This window comes from Homo sapiens, chromosome 11, assembly GCF_000001405.40.
Source record: "Homo sapiens chromosome 11, GRCh38.p14 Primary Assembly".
In the NCBI taxonomy this organism is placed as follows: domain Eukaryota; kingdom Metazoa; phylum Chordata; class Mammalia; order Primates; family Hominidae; genus Homo; species Homo sapiens.
The window spans coordinates 11,877,546-11,896,850 of NC_000011.10; the positions used below are offsets into that span (position 1 = coordinate 11,877,546).

General features: G+C 36.3%; 1 protein-coding gene across 16 annotated transcripts in view; it reads left to right on the forward strand.

Annotated features, from left to right (window-relative positions):
- Nucleotides 1-19,305, forward strand: part of USP47 (ubiquitin specific peptidase 47) — a 119,916-nt gene that overhangs the window by 35,574 nt on the left and 65,037 nt on the right. For 12 of the 16 annotated variants that reach the window (NM_001372095.1, NM_001372093.1, NM_001372094.1 and 9 more), the window contains 3 exons: nt 2,632-2,835; nt 6,922-7,035; nt 14,423-14,561. In NM_001372095.1, coding sequence (NP_001359024.1) covers nt 2,632-2,835; nt 6,922-7,035; nt 14,423-14,561 — 457 coding nt within the window. The remainder of the gene's footprint in view (nt 1-2,631; nt 2,836-6,921; nt 7,036-14,422; nt 14,562-19,305) is intronic. The other 4 variants (NM_017944.4, NM_001372101.1, NM_001372099.1 and 1 more) reach the window with 2 other exon arrangements.

Below are 19,305 nucleotides of genomic sequence, written 5' to 3' on the forward strand. Positions count from 1 at the left end.
AATTATTTGTAAAAGTATAATAAAGTCTTGGAGACAATAAAATAGAATTTATTAAGTAAATTATTATTAATCCGTATACTAACAAATACTACTTAGCTGTTAAAATGATGAGTTAGGAAAAGCTTTACAGGGAAAGATTGCATGATATAAGAAAGATGTTAGAAAACAGCATGTGTATTCTAATCCAGTGTTTGTGATTATGTAGCATGCATGCATAGCCTTTCTCTCTCTCTCTCTCTCTCTTTCTCTCTCTCTCTCTCTGTGTGTGTGTGTGTGTGTGTGTGTGTGTGTGTGTGTGTGTGTGTGTGTGTGTGCGCGCGCGCAGATAAGATATTTGGAAGGATATATGCCAGCATGCTAATAGTTATCTGTGGGTTATAGAGTTACAGATTATTTCCATTTTTTCCTTTATACTCTTAGTATTTTTAAAAAAAGCAAAATTATTTATATGTACGGAAAAGAAGGGCTATTACTAAAAAGAATATAAGCCACACATGAGATTGAATTTTGTTTTTTTCTGTATAACATATTTAGTCTTTAGATAGGATTTCATTGAGGGATAATTTTCCCACATGGAAGGAGAGGCATCTGGGGTGCTTGGACCCTGCATTCACATATTTAGGGAAAGAACCAGGAACTGCTAATGTCTGACCATATGATGTTGCCACATCACCATTCTTATGTATGATTACTATTACAGCACTTTTGATTTCTAAATTCTTAGCGTTGTCTTCCTTTGACCATCAACTCCAGCTTATTTGAAGCTTTAAAATCTGGCTACTACAGTATTTTATACCAGGAACGCTGAATCATTCAGACTTGATCTATCCCTGAAGTATACTATTGAATCTATAAAAGTGTACGTTTTGTAGTTGAAATTTATTTTGAGTCATTTACTCTTTCATCATAAACCAGCATTTTTAAAAAGATCTATTTTATGTTTTTTAGTTTAGGGTTAAAATGTGTAAAATAATCTATTAAATGTGTTAATATAACATCTAAAATATATAGGTGAAGGTTTTTTTATCTTTTTTGAAATGTATGTTAATAATGTTCTTTTGTTTCTTTTATTTCACAGAAATGTATTTTCTTTTTATTTTTTAAGTAAGTTTTTAGTAATTAAATATTTGGATGTGTCTGAATTGTAGTGCTACCCAATTTATTTTAAATATTATACTTTTATAGCAACTTACTTTTGTTCTAAACTAATTGGAGTAACTTTAATTTAAATGATCTCTTGCAAACCCAAAATTGTGTGTCACAGAAACAAATGATAATTGTATTACTTCAACAAACAAAAAACTTTGTGGCTATCCCATCTTCAGTACTAGCCAATTATAATTATTCTTATTTAAAAATGGATAATATAGAAGCAACAAAAGGTTGAAGCTGATAGTGTTATAAAAACTAAGGAAGAAATAAATTTTTGTGTACACCACCAGTTTGTAGAGATCATATTTCTGAATAGCCCATTATGGAGATGGTGAGACATCTCTCAGTTTAATGCCACACCTGACTGTCAGGGAAAGCAAGAGATTTACATCATCAGATTTGTATATCAGAAATACTATTCGGGGTTGAAGGAATATAAGATTGGAAGAAGTTAAACTTCTTAGGAAGCTGTTCCATAATTTTGTTGTAGGATATTCTTATTGCTGCAGGCAAGAATAAAGTGAAGGAGGTAGTTCAAGAGATATTCAAAAGGTAGAATTGATAGGTTTTGGAGACTATGTGAGGTAAAGAGGGAAGGACAAGGAAGATGCTCATTTCAGCTGTTTGGTTTCAGCAGCCAGGCAGATGATGGTGCCATTCATTGAGATGGCCATTATAGAAGGAGGGAAAGGAATTTCTTCCAATAAAGTATCTTTGATGTAGTCTTTTACCCCTGTGGAAAGTGGAAAAGTGGTGTCCTTTAACAGCTTGAGGGAGGGCATAGCTTATTTGAGAAAGTTTAAGCAGGAAGGATAATTTGTGACCCTAATTCCTTTCTGTATTGGTAATTGAAACTGTTTCCTTGTTTTTCCTTCCCCCTCCTCCTGGCTCATCTGTTTGGATAAGCTTGTCAGCCCCTGACACGTTAATAAATGGAGCTTTTTGGACATCTGGACTTATGAGTACAGCAGCATAAAGATCAGGAGATGTGGTAGCCTGTATCCCTTAGTTATAGATTTTTTAATCTTTAGACAATCCTTACTGCATTTTTGCACAATTCCCATTTTTTTTTAGGAGACCCAGAAATATTTGATTTGACTGTGGCTAGCATGGTAATGACACATTTTTTAAGGATCAGATTTTATAATTTTTAACTTAAAATTGCTTAAATATTACTATCTTCATGGCTTATTGACCATGGATTTACAGTCTTAAAGGTGAAAGCAAATATCTCCAAAAATGATTGTTGATTCTGAAATGTGCCTTGATTCTTCCAAAACAAACATATACGGTGCTTATATGTTTGACATATCCATTAGAATGCGTTTCAGACTACGATAAAACAGAGAAAATAGCACAGAGAAAATACTTAGTATTTCCTGAGGTCTTTTACATTTAATCATAAAATTTTATAGCTAATTATACTTTTGTTTTGCTTTAAAGATAATATATAAAGTCATATTTTTCTTAAAATTTCAGATAGAAAATGCTGCTGAAGAACCTAGAGTCTTATGTATTATACAAGATACTACTAATTCAAAGACAGTGAATGAACGGATCACTTTAAATTTACCAGCATCTACTCCAGTCAGAAAGCTCTTTGAAGATGTGGCCAACAAAGTAGGCTACATAAATGGAACCTTTGACTTGGTGTGGGGAAATGGAATCAATACTGCTGATATGGTAAAATCCTAGACTTAAGCTTCTAAAAATGTTATTATAGCCATTGTTGTTGTTGTTACTGATGATAATGTTAAATCCTGGAACTCTTAAAATCATAAACAAAAGTATAACAACTACAGTAAGAGCCTATGTGCAGCTCAGTAATTGGATCCTTCTTCTTCCTTTGCCTCCATTCTGGATTTAACATTTGCTCGTCCTAAAGTTTACATAATGTCATTTCATCAGTTTTTTCATTCATGAAAGGTGACTCTCATAATATTGTCTCAACTAAAGAAAAATTTCTATATTTACTGAACAGAATGATGATCATCTTATATTATTCCGTGAAAAAAGATTGTAAAATCATATTTTATGATCTGATTTTTGGAAAAGAAGAAAAATATTCATAGTAAGAAAAATGGAAGCATATATGCCTCATACATTACAGTGTTAACCAAGATTATCTCTAGCTGACTATTTCTTTTTATTTGTGTGTCTATGTGCATTTCTGGGCAACTTTTTTGTATGTTTATTTTTCTTTGTATGAACATGTGTAGCTTTTGACTTTTAACTCTTAAGCTTAAAAACATTTTTAACGACTGCAGTCTTGTCAGATCTCTTTGAGGGTATACTTTCTAATTTTAGTCGTCTGTTAACTGTTTCCTTAATTATTTATCCCTTATCCATTATATTTAGTTTCTCTCTTTCATGGTGTAGCATTTCTTTAAATATTTAGTGATTTTTATTTTCTGCTCATCTTTATATTTGAGAATCTCTGTTCACTTCTCTGTGAATGCTGATTAAACTTACCATATTCAGTTCTTGCTTGTTGTGGAAAAAGGGTGAGACGTGCTGCTAGGTGTGATGTGTTTATACTTGTTCTGGGATTGGCTGGCTTCTGACTCTTTAGGGTTAGGAGCTGATCAGTACCTTGTTAGACAGCACTGTGCTACCTCTCCGGTCACAGTGCCCACTCTTTACCCTGACAGGAAATAAGCACTGCTGTCTGCTACGTAGTCCAAGGAGAAAAAGAGAGGAGATACCAAACTGATCAGAATGCCTTTTCCTACTTCCTCACTTTTAGCTGTTTCCTGGCCTCTATGTCTTGACCTTAGTCTGAAGTTCCTTACTACCTTTATCTCCACAGTAGTCTTCTCTTATAGGATCTTTGGGCTGTGGTTCCCCTTAGTTTTATTTTTCCATAGATCTGATCCTGTCTGTTTTCTATTTTTTAATTTCTCAAAATTTTTGGTTTGCTAAGCATGCTCTTTTTTGACATTTTATGGACTTTAGGGGAGGATTATTGGTAGACATCTTCTTAGGTCATCATTTGACCTAATCTTGTATTAATGTTTACTACCAAAATAAACAATTGCAATTATTAAAAAAATTTCTAGGAATCCTTGATAGACATCTGTCCTTGGACCATTTTTATAAGGACACTGATTCCATTCATGAGGGCTCCATCCTTGAGACCTAATCAGCTCCTAAGGCCCCAACGCTTAATATCATTGCATTGGGGATTAGGTTTCAGCATGTGAATTTTGGGGAGACATAAACACTCAGAACATAGCAGAGGTACTGATCACTTTTGCATGGGAGTGTGGTTAAGGAAGAAGACCATTGAGTTGGATCTCATCTGCGTTATTAGAACAGTATTCTAGATAGCCTTTTTTGTTTCCTTTCTCTCTGTCCAAATTCACCCTACATAATAGTTAGAATTATTTTCAGTCATCTAAAGTTGTAGCACTTATGTCACCTTCTAGTTCAGTAACCATCAATCACTGCTCATTGCCCACTGATTAAAAATCTAAGACAAGCTATTATTGGTTCTTTAAGGCTTTATACTCTTAAATCCCAGATACTGGATTGGTTTATTTTCTTAACATAGATTTCCATATTTTTCTGTCTTAAGTTTTCCAGAAAAATACCTCTAACAGTCAGTGAAGTTGAATGTGTATCCCTATGGTATTTGGAGTACATATTTTAAGTTGGTCCCACAGGAGAATCAAAGATGTTTGATGTTGCCTGATTTGCCCTTAAAATCATATTATGCTTTTTATTCCATAATATATTTGTTTTTTTAAAAATATAGAACTAATGTTTTAAACTGAAATTAACCAGTAAAATTGGTAGTCGGACAAGACATAGAAAGATAAACAATATTTAATCTGAGACTTTGAACACTTTCTGGTACATCACCACATAATTTCCAGTGTTGTCCTTTTTCAGTTTAAAGGATAGTTGTGTACTGTCCTAGATGATATATAATATCATCTTTTACCCTTAAAAAGCCTTACTCAGTGTTTCCTCATGCCGCTTTAAAAGTAATTTTTTTCTCTTTGACCTCCTATGCCCTTTGGCTGCACCACTTATAGTTCCTTTTTGTTATAGGTGTTACTCATCTGTGTCTTTCCATTTCCAATGTCAGCATTTTCATTACAGGAACCTCGTATAAATTTCATATCCTCCATAAACATTCCTTCTAGGCATTCAAAAAGCATTTGTTAAATTATCTTCCACAATAGCTTTAAATAGCTGTATGTCAGGATTACCTGTTTCTTTCTTTTTAGCTATTACTGTACTCGAGCTCTATTTCTGTATTTTTATTTGCCTCCTGTACATTTCTACAAATATGACTACTTTCTCCTGCTTACTGCGTAGTGCTGAATGGATACTCCTCAGAAAACTAAGCCCATTTAGCTACCCACCACCTTGTATACAGACACTTACTGAGGTAAAACCCCTGTGTATTTCAGCTGTGTGATCTGATCATGTCCCACCAGTGACTTTAAGGAACCCAGCAATCCCTTTCTTCCCTCCATGTGGCTGCTTTTAGCTTCAGGTTTTCTATGTCCTGTTTTTCTTGTGGATTGATAGATGTGAGCCAAAGTTAAGAGGTAGATAATATATTCGCTGTTTTATTTACTTAACACGTCTTTTGCACTTACTGTGTTTATAGTATTCTAAGCTCTGTACAAATGTAATCTTTTTTAATCCTTATATTAATAACTACTCTATGAGGTAGATGCTACTACACCCTCATAGGTGAAGAAACTGAGTCATGGGGAAGTGAAATAACTTTCCAAAGTCACACAGATAGTAAGTAGCAGAATCTCTTACAGTTAATTTTTTTTGTCCTCAGTACCTGCACTTTTATACAACGTTAATCAGTGTTAATTTCCTAAGAAATAAAGGCATTTTCATAAAATGAGTATAAGGAGACTCTGCCCATGTCTTTGAAACATTAAAAACATTTCTTAATGTAACAAAACAGTTTTAAAGATGTTTATCTCTACTCCCTCATTTTTCTCAACAGCAGTCTGGAGTGAGTGAGTAGGGCTTGGGGCATACAGAGTTTCCTCTCTCATCCACCAGCTAGAGTATATTAGAATGACAGCTAGAGTTGAAATTGCCCTACCATATAAGTTAGGTGAAGACTTGACTCTTAGATGTTTAATTTTCAAAGGTCTGATCACAGTCACTTCCATACCCCCTGGGTCCTCTGAATCCTAGTGGTACATTTGAAATAGGTATCATTTACTGGGACAGGCTTTTCCTTAAGGAGTCTTTCTAAAGGCTATATTATATACTACATTAGTTTTATTTTTGTTACATTACATAATTATGTTACATAATTATTTTGGTTGGGTTGCTTAGTATGTTGCTTATCTGGTATTTTTCATCATATTTATATATCAAAACATTTTGGTTTTTAGTTATGTAAAATTATCTTTGGTCAATTTTCTTGAAACCCCATTAAATATCATATTGCATATATTGTATAGAACATGGAAAGAGAAATGTTTATAGATTCTTTTTATGTGTATGTAGTGCTTAACATTACCTCTTAACTTTCGCCTTTTCTCTTTTTAGTTTGTTAGATGTTGGGGAATGTGAGTCTCTGGGATACCTATCAGTGTATGCACTGTTACTGGGCTTAGCTATTCCAGTTAATGAATAAATGAGTTAATTCCAAGCCTAGATGAAGAGAATTTTACCAGATCATTACTAAAAAAATACTATTTAAATGTAGATATGTATCTATTTACAGATTACTTATTTTATGTTTCTCATAATCTGAAACATTATGTTTTATGTCCATAGGCACCACTGGATCATACCAGTGACAAGTCACTTCTCGACGCTAATTTTGAGCCAGGAAAGAAGAACTTTCTGCATTTGACAGATAAAGATGGTGAACAACCTCAAATACTGCTGGTAAGCTACTTAGAAAGCCCCATATTTATAATTTTTGTGCACTGTCACCTACTACTTGAGGATGCAGTTTCCCAAAGGAAATAAGATGTGTTTTGTAATTTGTGTAATAAATTAATATTTTTTCATTTTATGTTGGTTTGTTATAAGTGTGTAGAATAACATAGTTACACTGGACATCCACAGCAACATTATTTGTGTATACAGTCTGTTGCCGCCTTGGATTTAACATATACTGCTGTCTTCAAGACCACTGCCACACCAGGGATGGGGGTGGGTCTAGGATAAGTCAAAGTGCCACAAAGATCTCCTGTGTTTCAGTAGTGACCCTTCCTTTGTTTAAGCATTTGCTTGGTTGCTGTAAATCTTTGGTGGTTTTCATGAGGTTTTTCAGTATCTGCAAGAAGGTCATTTCCGTTCTCACTTCCTCCCCTAACCTGCCACCTTTTTTGGAATGACTGGTGTATACATTAAATGTTTCACTTCTATTCTTTTAATGTTTATCCCAATTCACATTTCAGTGGACTTTCCTGTTCAGCCCAGTTGCCTTAGAGATATCTAATGCAGTATCTCCCAATTTGAGGGCTATTCCACCAGAGATTTTTTTTTTTCTCTCAGTGCGTTGTAGAGGACATGAGTTAAAAAAGAGTAAGAGGGAGGGGCCAAGATGGCCGATTAGAAATAGCTGCGGTCCACAGTGCTCATGGAGAGGAGTGAAAGGGGAGAGTGAATACAGCACATTCAACTGAAATATCCAAGTTCTCGCACTGAGACTGATTAGGCAAACAACTCAACTCAAAAAGAATGAAGAAAAGCAGGGTGGGGCGATGGCCCACCCAGGAGAGACACAAAGCCAAAGGAATCCCCACCCCCAGCCAAGGGAAGCTGTGAATGATTGTATGACTCTGCCCAGGAAACCACGCTACTTTCATGGATCTTTGCAACCCTAAGATCAAGAGATCCCCTCAGGAGCCCACGCCACCAGGGTCTTGGGTCCAATACACAGAGCTATGTGGAATCTTGGTAGAGCAGCCACTCGGACACACATATAGACCCCAGGAGTTTTACATACTCTGACCCCAGGATCCCCAACAAGGTGGGAAGTCCATACATAAATACCCCTAGGAAGGGGGCTGAATCCAGGGATCCAAGCAGCATTGTTCTGCAGGCCCCACTTCCACAGCACCTCACAAGCTAAGACCCACTGGCTTGGAATTGGCTCCCAACGGGTTTTCAGCAACTTCCTGCAGGTGCATTCAGGCCAGCAACAGTTCAGGACCCCCTGGGACAGAGTTTCCAGAGGAAGGAGCAGGCTGCCATCTTTGCTGTTTCACAGCCTTCACTGGTGATACCTCCAGGTATGGGAAAAACTGAGGCAACTAGGGTCTGGAGTGGACCCCCAGCAAACTGCAGCAGCCCTATGGAAGAGTGGCCTGACTGTTAAAAGTAAAACAAATAAGCAGAAAATAATAACAATAATATCAACAGAAAAGACCCCACACAATCCCTATTCAAAGGTCAGCAACCTCTAAGATCAAAGGTAGATAAGCCCACAGAGATGAGAAAGAATCAACACAAAAATGTCAAAAACTCAAAAAGCCAGAATGCCTCTTCTCCAGATGACCGCAGTGCCTCTCCAGCAAGGGCACAGAACTGGGCTGAGGCTGAGATGGCTGAATTGACAGAAGGAGGTTTTAGAAGGTGGGTAATAACAAACTTTGCTGAGCTAAAGGAGCATGTTGTAACCTAATGTAAAGAAGCTAAGAATCGTGATAATACAGGAGCTGACAGCCAGAATAGCCAGTTCAGAAAGGAACATTACTGACCTGATAGAGCTGAAAAATACACTACAAGAACTTTACAGTGCAATGACAAGTATCAATAGCAGAATAGACCAAGTAGAGAAAAGAATCTTAGAGCTTGAAGACTGTCTTTCTGAAATAAGACAGGCAGACAAGAATAGAGAAAAAAGAATGAAAAGGAATGAACAAAACCTCCAAGAAATATGGGATTATGTAAAGAGACCAAACGTACAACTGATTGGGATACCTGAAGGAGACAGGAAGAATGGAACCAAGTTGGAAAATATACTTAAGGATGTCATCCAGGAGAACTTTCCTAATCTAGCAAGACAGGCCAACATTCAAATTCAGGAAATGCAGAGAACCCCAGTAAGATACACCATGAGAAGATTAACCCCAAGACAATAATCGTCAGACTCTCCAAGGTCAAAATGAAATAAAAAATGTTAAGGGTAACCAGAGAGAAAGGCCAGGTCACCTACAAACAGACAAACAGTAGACCTCTCAGTGGAAACCCTACAAGCCAGAAGAGATTAGGGACCAATATTCAACATTCTTAAAGAAAGGAATTTCCAACCCAAAATTTCATATCTGGCCAAACTAAGTTTCATGAGCAAAGGAAAAATATGATCCTTTTCAGACGAGCAAATGCTGAGAGAATTCATCACCATTAGGCCTGCCTTGCAAGAGCTCCTGAAGAAAGCACTAAATATGGGAAGGAAAAACTGTTACCAGCCAGTACAAAAATACACTGAAGTACACAGACCAGTGACACTATCAAGCAACCACATAAGCCAGGAAAATAGCCAGCTAGCATCATGATGACAGTATCAAATTTGCACATAATATTACTAACCTTAAATGTAAATGGGCTAAGTGCCTTAATTAAAAGGCACAGAATGGCAAGCTGAATAAAGAGTCAAGACTCATCAGTATGCTGTCTTCAAGAGACCCATCTCATGTGCAAAGACACACATAGGCTCAAAATAAAGGGATGGAGGAAAATTTACCAAGTGAATGGAAAACAGAAAAAAGCAGGAGTCGCAATCCTAGTTTCTGACAAAACAGAGTTTACACCAACAAAGATAAAAAAAGACAAGGGCATTACATAATAGTAAAGGGTTCAATCCAACAAGAAGAGCTAACTATCCTAAATATATATGCACTCAATACAGGAACACCCAGATTCATAAAGCAAGTTCTTAGAGACCAACAAAAGAGACTTACACTCCCACACAATAACAATGGGAGACTTTAACACCCCACTGACAGTATTAGACAGATCATCGAAACAGAAAATTAACAAAGATATTCAGTACCTAAACTCAGCTCTGGATCAAGTGGACCTGATAGATATCTACAGAACTCCCCACCCCACAACAACAGAATATACATTCTTCTCATCACCACACAGCACTTACTCTAAAACTGATCACATAATCAGAAGTAAAACACTCCTCAGCAAATGCAAAAGAACTGAAATTACAACAGACTCTCAGACCATAGCACAATCAAACTAGAACTCAAGAAATTCACTCAAAACCACATGACTACAAAATTGAACAACCTGCTCCCAAATGACTCTTGAGTAAATAATGACATTAAGGCAGAAATCAAGAAGTTCTTTGAAACTGATAAGAACAAAGAGATAACATACCAGAATTTCTGGGATGCAGCTAAAGCAGGGTTAAGAAAGAAATTTATAGCACCAAATGCCCATATCAAAAAGCTAGGAAGATGTCAAGTTAACAACCTAACATTACAACTAAAAGAACTAGAGAACCAAGAGCAAACAAACCCCAAAGCTAGCAGAAGACAAGAAATAACCAAAATCAGCACAGAAATGAAGGAGATAGATAGAGACACGAAAAACCTTTCAAAAATCAACAAATCCAGGAGTTGGTTTTTTGAAAAAATTAATAAAATAGATAAACTGCTAGTTAGACTAATAAGAAAAGAGAAGAATCAAATAAACACAATCAGAAACGATAAGGGGGATATCACCACTGACCCCACAGAAATACGAAAAACCATCAGAGAATACTATAAACATCTCTGTGCACATAAAATAGAAAATATGGATAAATTCCTGGACACATACACCGTTCCAAGACTGAACTAGGAAGAAATTGAGTCTCTAAATAGACCAATTAAAAATTCTGAAATTGAGGCAGTAATATATAGCCTACCAATCAAAAAAAGCCCAGGACCAAACAGATTTACAGCTGAATTCTACCAGAGGTACAAAGAAGAGCTGGTACCATTTCTACTGAAACTATTCCAAAAAATTGAAAAGGAAGAACTCCTCCCTAATTCTTTGTATGAGGCCAGCCTCATCCTCATACCCAAACCTGGCAGAGATACAACAAGAAAAGAAAACTTAAGGCCAGTATCCCTGATGAACATCGGTGCAAAAATCCTTAATAAAATACTGGCAAACTGAATTCAGCAGCACATCAAAAAGCTTATCCACATGATCAAGTTGGCTTCATTCCCAGGATGCAAGGTTTGTTCAACATATGCGAATCAATAAATGCGATTCATCCCATAAACAGAGCTAAAGACAAAAAACACATGATTATCTCAAAAGATGCAGAAAAGGCCATCAGTAAAATTCATTATCCCTTCATGTTAAAAACTCTGAATAAACTAGGAATTGAAGGAATATACTCAAAATAGCAAGAATCATATATGACAGGCCCACAGCCAATATCAACCTGAATGGGCAAAAGCTGGAAGCATTCCCCTTGAAAACTGGCACAAAATGAGAATGCCCTCTTTTACTACTCCTATTTGACATAGTATTGGAAGTTCTGACCTGGGCAATCAGGCAAGAAAAAGAAATAAAAGGTATTCACATAGGAAAAGAAGAAGTCAGATTATCTTTGTTTGCAGATGACATGATCCTGTATCTAGAAAACCCCATCGTCTTATGATGTATTTTCATAAAATCAGCTTAAGCTGATAAGCAACTTCAGCAAAGTCTCAGGATACAAATTCAGTGTGCAGAAATTGCTAGTATTCCTGTATACCAACAACAGGCAAGCAGAGAGCCAAATCACGAATGAACTCCCATTCACAATTGCTACAGAAAGAAAATACCCAGGAATACAGCTAACAAGGAAAGTGAAGGACACCTTCAAGGAGAACTATAAACTGCTGAAATAAATCAGAGAAGATACAAACAAATGGGAAAACATTCCATGCTTATGGATAGGAAGAATCAATATCTTGTTAATGGCCATACTGTCCAAAGTAATTTATAGATTCAATGCTATTCCCATTAAACTACCATTGACATTCTTCACATAATTAGAAAAATCTATTTTAAAATTCATATGGAACCAAAAAAGAGCCTGAATAGCCAAGACAATCCTAAACAAAAAGAACGAAGCTGAAGGCATCATGCTACCCAAGTTCAAACTATACTGCAAGGCTACAGTAATCAAAACATCATACTGCTGGTAAAAGAACAGACACATAGACCAATGGAACAGAATAGAGAACTCAGAAATAAGACCACACATCTACAACCGTCTGATCTTCAACAAACCAGACAAAAGCAACGAGGAAAGGATTCTCTATTTAATAAATGGTGCTGGGAGAACTGGTGAGCCATAGGCAGGAAATTGAAACTGGACTCCTTCCTTACACCATAAACAAAAATTAACTTAAGACAGATTAAAGACTTCAATGTAAAACCCGAAACTATACAAAACCTTAGAAAAAAATCTAGGCAATATTATTTAGGACATAGGTACAGGCACAGATTTCATGATGAAATTCCAAAAGCAATTGCAACAAAAGCAAAAATTGACAAATGGATCTAATTAAACTAAAGGGCTTCCACACAGCAAAAGAAACTATCATCAGAATGACCAGACAGCCTACAGAATGGGAGAAAATTTTTACAATCTATCCACCTGACAAAGGTCTAATATCCAGAATCTACAAGGAACTTAAATTTACGAGAAAAAAACAGACCCATTAAAAAGTAGGCAAAGGGCATGGACAGACATTTCTCAAAAGAAGGTATACATGCAGCCAACAAACATGAAAAAAAGCTTAACATTACTGATCATTAGAGAAATGCAAATCAAAACCGCAATGAGATACCATCCCACACCTGTCAGAATGGCAGTTATTAAAAAGTCAAAAAACAAAAGATGCTGGCAAGGTTGTGGAGAGTAAATTAGTTCAATCATTGTGGAAAATAATGTGGTCATTCCTCAAAGACTTAGAGGCAGAAATACCATTTGACCCAGCAGTCCCATTACTGAGTATATAGGCAAAGGAGTAGAAATCATTCTGTTATAAAGATACATGCACTCATATGTTCACTGCAGCACTATTCACAATAATAAAGACATGGAATCAACCTAAATGCCCATCAATGATAGATTGGATAAAGAAAATATGGTTCATATACACCACAGAATACTATGCATCCATAACAACTAACAAGATCATGTCCTTTGCAGGGAGATGGATGGAGCTGGAAGTCATTATTCTCAGGAAACTAACACAGGAACAGAAAACCAAACACTACATGTTCTCACTTATAAGTGGGAGCTGAATGATGAGAACACGTGGACACAGGGAGGGAACAACACACACTGGGGCATGTTGTGAGGGAGAGCATTAGGAAGAATAGCTAAGGGATACTGGACTTAATACCTAGGTGATGGGATGATCTGTGCAGCAAACAACCATGGCACACATTACCTGGGTAACAAACCACATCCTGCGCAGATACACCTGAACTTAAAAGTTGAAAAAATAATAATTTAAAAAATTAAAATGCCAAAAAAAGATTAAGAAAACCTGGTCTGATTTACCTCACTCTTTTACAGGCTGAGACTTTTTCAGAATCCTTCTGTTTAATGACGCTTTGCTCAGGAAAGATTGTTCTGTTTGATGCTTTTCATTTAGAAGTTTATTGTGATTAACAATGCCTGTCTGGATACTAGACAGTAATTAAACACAGTCCATCTGTACTGAAGCAGTAACAGAATATGCTCTCTGATCTTCATTAATTGCATCATTTAGTTTTATGACATCATGAGAAGATTTTGATTAGTCTGAGTGACATTGAAATCTAAAATAGCTATTAATTTAGGGAACTCTGGATTCACAGTTCAGGGATTCATGTTTTTAAATGCATAAGAATTCTTCAGTTCTGTTCTAATTGCTTGTGCTGCTTTTATGTCCCTTAATCCTTTTCAGCATCTTCCTTATTAAAATGAAGTTTCTTGTCAGAGACAGTAGGAAACTATCCATCTCACCAACAATAATTGTGTGTCCCCTATGTGCTAGGCCTACGTGGCCAGGATGATATAAAAATGAATGATAGACTGTCATCACGGAGTACAATGGTACTTTTCGTTTATTAGTACCAAAAATCTTCTCTCATGTAAACAGAAAATTTGAAAGAAAATTTAGAAAGTAACACTTTGGAAGGGGGCATGAGCACCTTTCCAGAGTGTTTTGTATCAGGCATCATTCAAACCTTCCTACAGGAAATGGTGAATGCTGTTGTTTCAGCAACATTTGCTATTTACTAACTATTTGAATATGTTGCATTTTAGGAGGATTCCAGTGCTGGGGAAGACAGTGTTCATGACAGGTTTATAGGTCCGCTTCCAAGAGAAGGTTCTGGGGGTTCTACCAGTGATTATGTCAGCCAAAGCTACTCCTACTCATCTATTTTGAATAAATCAGAAACTGGTAAGATTTGTTGTATTTTCATAAAATCATAGGGCATTAGATCCAAAGTAATCTTAGCGATTTGAAGCCTAATCCTCTTATTTTATGGATAAGAAAACTGAGACCTAGAGCAGGAGTACTAGCTAGCAGCCGCAAAGTTAGAAGAAGTATGTGGTTTACTTTTCCTTCAACCCACTCGTTTCTACTATATTGCTGCTGCCACTATTTAATAATAACGTAAACATTATTGAATATTATGTTTTTAAGGAAGACTTTTCTTTTCTTTTTAATTTTCTTTTTTTTTTTTTTTTTTTGAGACAGAGTCTTGTTCTGTTGCCCAAGCTGGAGCACAGAAGCTTGATAATGGCTCACTGCAGTCTTGAACTCCTGGACTCAATCAATCCTCCCACCTCAGTCCCCTGAGTAGCTGGGATTATAGGTGTACTGGGCACAGTGGCTAACACCTATAATCCCAGCACTTTGGGAAGGCCAAGGCAGGAAGATTGCTTGAGCCCGGGAGTTGGAGACCAGCCTGGGCAACCTAGCCAGACACCATCTCTACAAAAATCAAAATAAAAAAATTAGCTGGGCATGGTCGCTGTTGCTTGTAGTCCCAGCTCCTCAGGAGGCTTAGGTGGGAGGATTGCTTGAGCCCAGGAGGTCTAGGTTGCAGTGAGCCATGGTGGTGCCACTATACTCAGCTTGGGTGATTGATTGAGACCCTGTCTCAAGTAAAAAAAAAAAAAAAAGAAAAAGAAAAAAAAAATTCAAGACTTCTTTTAATAATTTTCTATTTTGACTATACTCTGAAATTTTTAAAGTGGACTTCCTCCAGAAAGGAAAGTCTGTGTTGTCTACTTTTACAGTACTTCCATTTTGAAGCACATGGGCCATGCTTATTTTATGGGTCTGTTGTGTTATCTTTTAGTTTATTCATTTTAGTGCTTGAAATGAATCATGTCATTTTGAAATTTCTTTTTTTCTCAATACGATTAAGCCTATGTTTTTTAATTTTTTCACTTTATTGAGCAAGTAAAATGGCTTTTTTATGCAAAGGTTTATTTACATACAAGATTGTTTAATCGCCTAATGAATAAATCTTGATAAATTTACATATTATTTCATCTTAAAACAAATCTTTGCAATAGATAGTATGTTTTATGTTGAAGGAAATGAAAACGGGTTCAGAGAAGCCTTTGATTGCATATGTCATTAATGGTGTTTCATGCTAAGTATGGCTTCAGAAACTTTACTCTTAGAACTTCAAAACAGGTGATTTTAAATATTACATTACAAATATCAGTGTAAAAAGAACACTATAGTGTTACATTGCAGATTGCTTATTTTTAATTTTATTATTATGTTATAGAGATTAGAGTCTTGCTTTGTCACCCAGGCTGGAGTGCAGTTGTAAGATCATAGCTCACTGCAGCCTCGAACTCCTAGGCTCAAGCGATCCTCCCACCCCAGCCTCCCAAGTAGCTAGGACTACAGGTGTGCACCACAATGCCTGTCTTTTAAATTTTTGTAGAGATGAGGTCTCACTATGTTGCCCAGGCTAGTCTTGAGTAATCTTTCTGCCTCGGCCTCCCAAGTAGCGGGGAATACAGGTGTGCATCACAACGCCTGGCTTTTAAATTTTTCTAGAGATGAGGTCTCACTGTGTTGCCCAGGCTAGTCTCAAAGTGATCTTCCTGACTCAGCCTCCCAAGTAGCTGGGATTACAGGTAGAAGCCATGGTGCCCAACTCCAGGTTTTGTTTTAATGTCATCTGTAATCTTTCGTTTACTATATTTTGTAATTAGAATTTAGAATAATTTCCTCATAGCTAGTTATTGTGCAGCTTTAATGGTTTATTTTTTCTGGAAATAATAGTAAAACCTGATTATGTTTGGTATTTAGGATTCATTTCTATCAGTAGAACTTTTTGTAGCAAACAACCACAATAAAAAAAATACAAAATTATCTTTGATTTCAGATAATAGGAGGTAATTAAACTGTTTCCCATTACACTATCTAGAGTAGTGATTCTCAGATTTTAATTTCTTTAAAATTAATTTTGGGGGTACTTGTTAAAAATGCAGGTTCCAGCCGGGCACAGTGGCTCACTGTTATAATCCCATCACTTTGGGAGGCCGAGGTGGGCAGATCACCTGAGGTCAGGGTTTGAGACCAGCCTGGCTAACATGGTGAAACCCCATCTCTACTAAAAATACAAAAATTAGCTGACCGTGGTAGCAGGTGCCTGTAATCCCAGCTACTCGGGAGGCTGAGGCAGGAGAATCGCTTGAACCCAGGAGGTGGTTGCAGTGAGCCGAAATTGAGCCACTGCACTCCAGCCTGGGCAACAGAAGGAGACTCCATCTCAAAAAACAAAAAAGAAAAATGTAGGTTCCAAGGCATTACTTCCCAAAATGCTGATATAGCTGCTCTGTAGTAGGCTGGAAGAAATTGCATTTTGTTTCTTATTATTCTGAGATAGCTACATTATTCTGAGATAGCTGAAACACTGTGAGAGAGTTCCAGATTTAACAAATCAAGATTCTTGAGATATTTGCTTTGTCTTCTGACAATTGATTCAGTCATTTTTGCACCAAGTATTTACAGAACTCCTACTGTGCTTGTACTAACTTCAACTTCCTGTGGCTCTCTGAGGCCTGTGAATTCCTTGAGACTAAGACATGCTTTTTTAAAACGCTCTTTCTTTGATTATACAAATATATTAAAATACATGTCATTGTCTTACTATAAAATAAAAAAGTGAAAATAATTTACAGTACTACTGGCACCACTTCTAGCAATTTTGCATATTTTTATCTTATCTTTCCTCTATATGTGTACTTTTCAGAAAATGGGGAATCATGAGTAGATTTTTAATTAATGTTTTTCACTTAATACTATATGAGGAGTATTTTTTAATGTTATTAAATAGTATTTTAATATGGGGCTTTAAATGGCTGAAAAATAGTTTCATTTTATAGGTTCAGATATTTAAATTGTAATTATTAATATTGCTGATATTATTATGAAAATTCTTATACATACATTTTTGTTTTCATCTCTGATTATTTCCTAAAGATAAAAATTCCCAGAAATTATATTAGTAAGTTGAAGTTTACTTAAAAAAATATTTTTAGAAGTCTTTGCTATACATTGCCATGTAATCATAGTCTTTGTTCGCATTTACTGTTCCTCACACACCTCTACTCCACTCCCTTTCCCTACCTGTACATTTTCCTCCAGGGTTCTAGGGGTCCTGCCTTCCTGAGTTACTCTATAAGCATCCAAGGTGGTTGTGTTCAGAAATTATTTTATCAGGGGTTGTGTTCAGAAATTATTGTATCAGATAAAATTATTTAATCAAACCATTGAGTTTGCATTTCCTTAAGAAATTATTATAAATTTTGGCACCATGTGTGAAATGTTCTTATTAGAAAATGCTCTCATGATTTTAACTTAGGGCTCTAGAAACACATTTCTCAGTAAAGCAATGGGTTTGGGTACTCAACATACTCTTTCCTGTCTCTTTCCTACCACTTCCCACTGGTAGCCAGCCACTGTTGATAGGAGATGGTGGGTTGGGGAGAAATAAGGAGTAGATTGAAGGCTAATGTGAACTTACAAGTGATTAGAAACTAAATCCATGATACCTGTCTTTGGCCAGTTTTTTTAACAGCCTTTTTATCTACTTCAGGAGTTGGCCTATTTGATTCCACTTCACTGGGCCTGTTTGATTTCTCCTTCTTTAGTGGTTGGTTCTGTTTAGGATTTCTTTTTGCATGTGCCCTCTACTGGATGGTATATGTTCTCATATTCTTCTTGCTTACTGACTTATACTAAAAATATTGATTCATAACTATTTCAGATGTAGAATCCACTTGATAATAGCTGCCATTTGAAGTTTGTTGATTTAGACAATGCATAATGAGAAAGGTTTCTGTTAATTCATTAGCACTTTTAATAGTGTCACCAAAATCGTCATACTTTTGGAAAATAGTACATTTATGTGACACAGTGTTCATTCTGTTTAAATATGGTGCCAAATCAAGTACAAAAGATCATAGAGTCATATGTGATTTTTATACCTGATGGTAAAATAAAGAGCTATGGCAAAAATTAATTGCCATTACTCTCTTCTTCTCTTCTCAAGCCTACCCCGAAAACATTTTTTTAAGCCCAGTAAAGGGAAACAAGGTCACAAACAAGTGATACATGATTGATGTGTATGTACACAAAGGATGATAGTAGTATTCATTTACCTTGTAAGGCTCCAAGTAGATTGGTTCTCCCCCAGACTGTTGAGGAATTGGGAGGAGGAGGACGGAGAAGAAAAGAAATCCCAGAGCAGCCTCAGCTCAGAAGAAGATACAGAACAATTGGTCTCCTGGACAAATTGCTGTTGTTTGTGGGAAAGGCTCTGTTTGTATGAACTAATGAAATAATGTTTTTTATTATTAATAATCAGCTTAGATACCATACAAACTTGTGTTACTTGTAAGTCATACACATTGCCCTCTCATGTGCATCTGCTGCTGTGCTAAGTAATAGGAGAGATAGAAGTCAGATTCAATCCCTGCTTTCACAGTCTGATGGGGGAGACATATAAGCAAATGGGTCGTTACAAAACAGTGAGATAAAGGCTCTAATACGGATTAAATATAGGATCCTATGAGAACAACTCAAGTGGGGAATAGTCTGGAATAGAAGCAGTTTAAAATAATGCAATGATGTAGATTAAGATATAAACCACCCATGCATACACGGT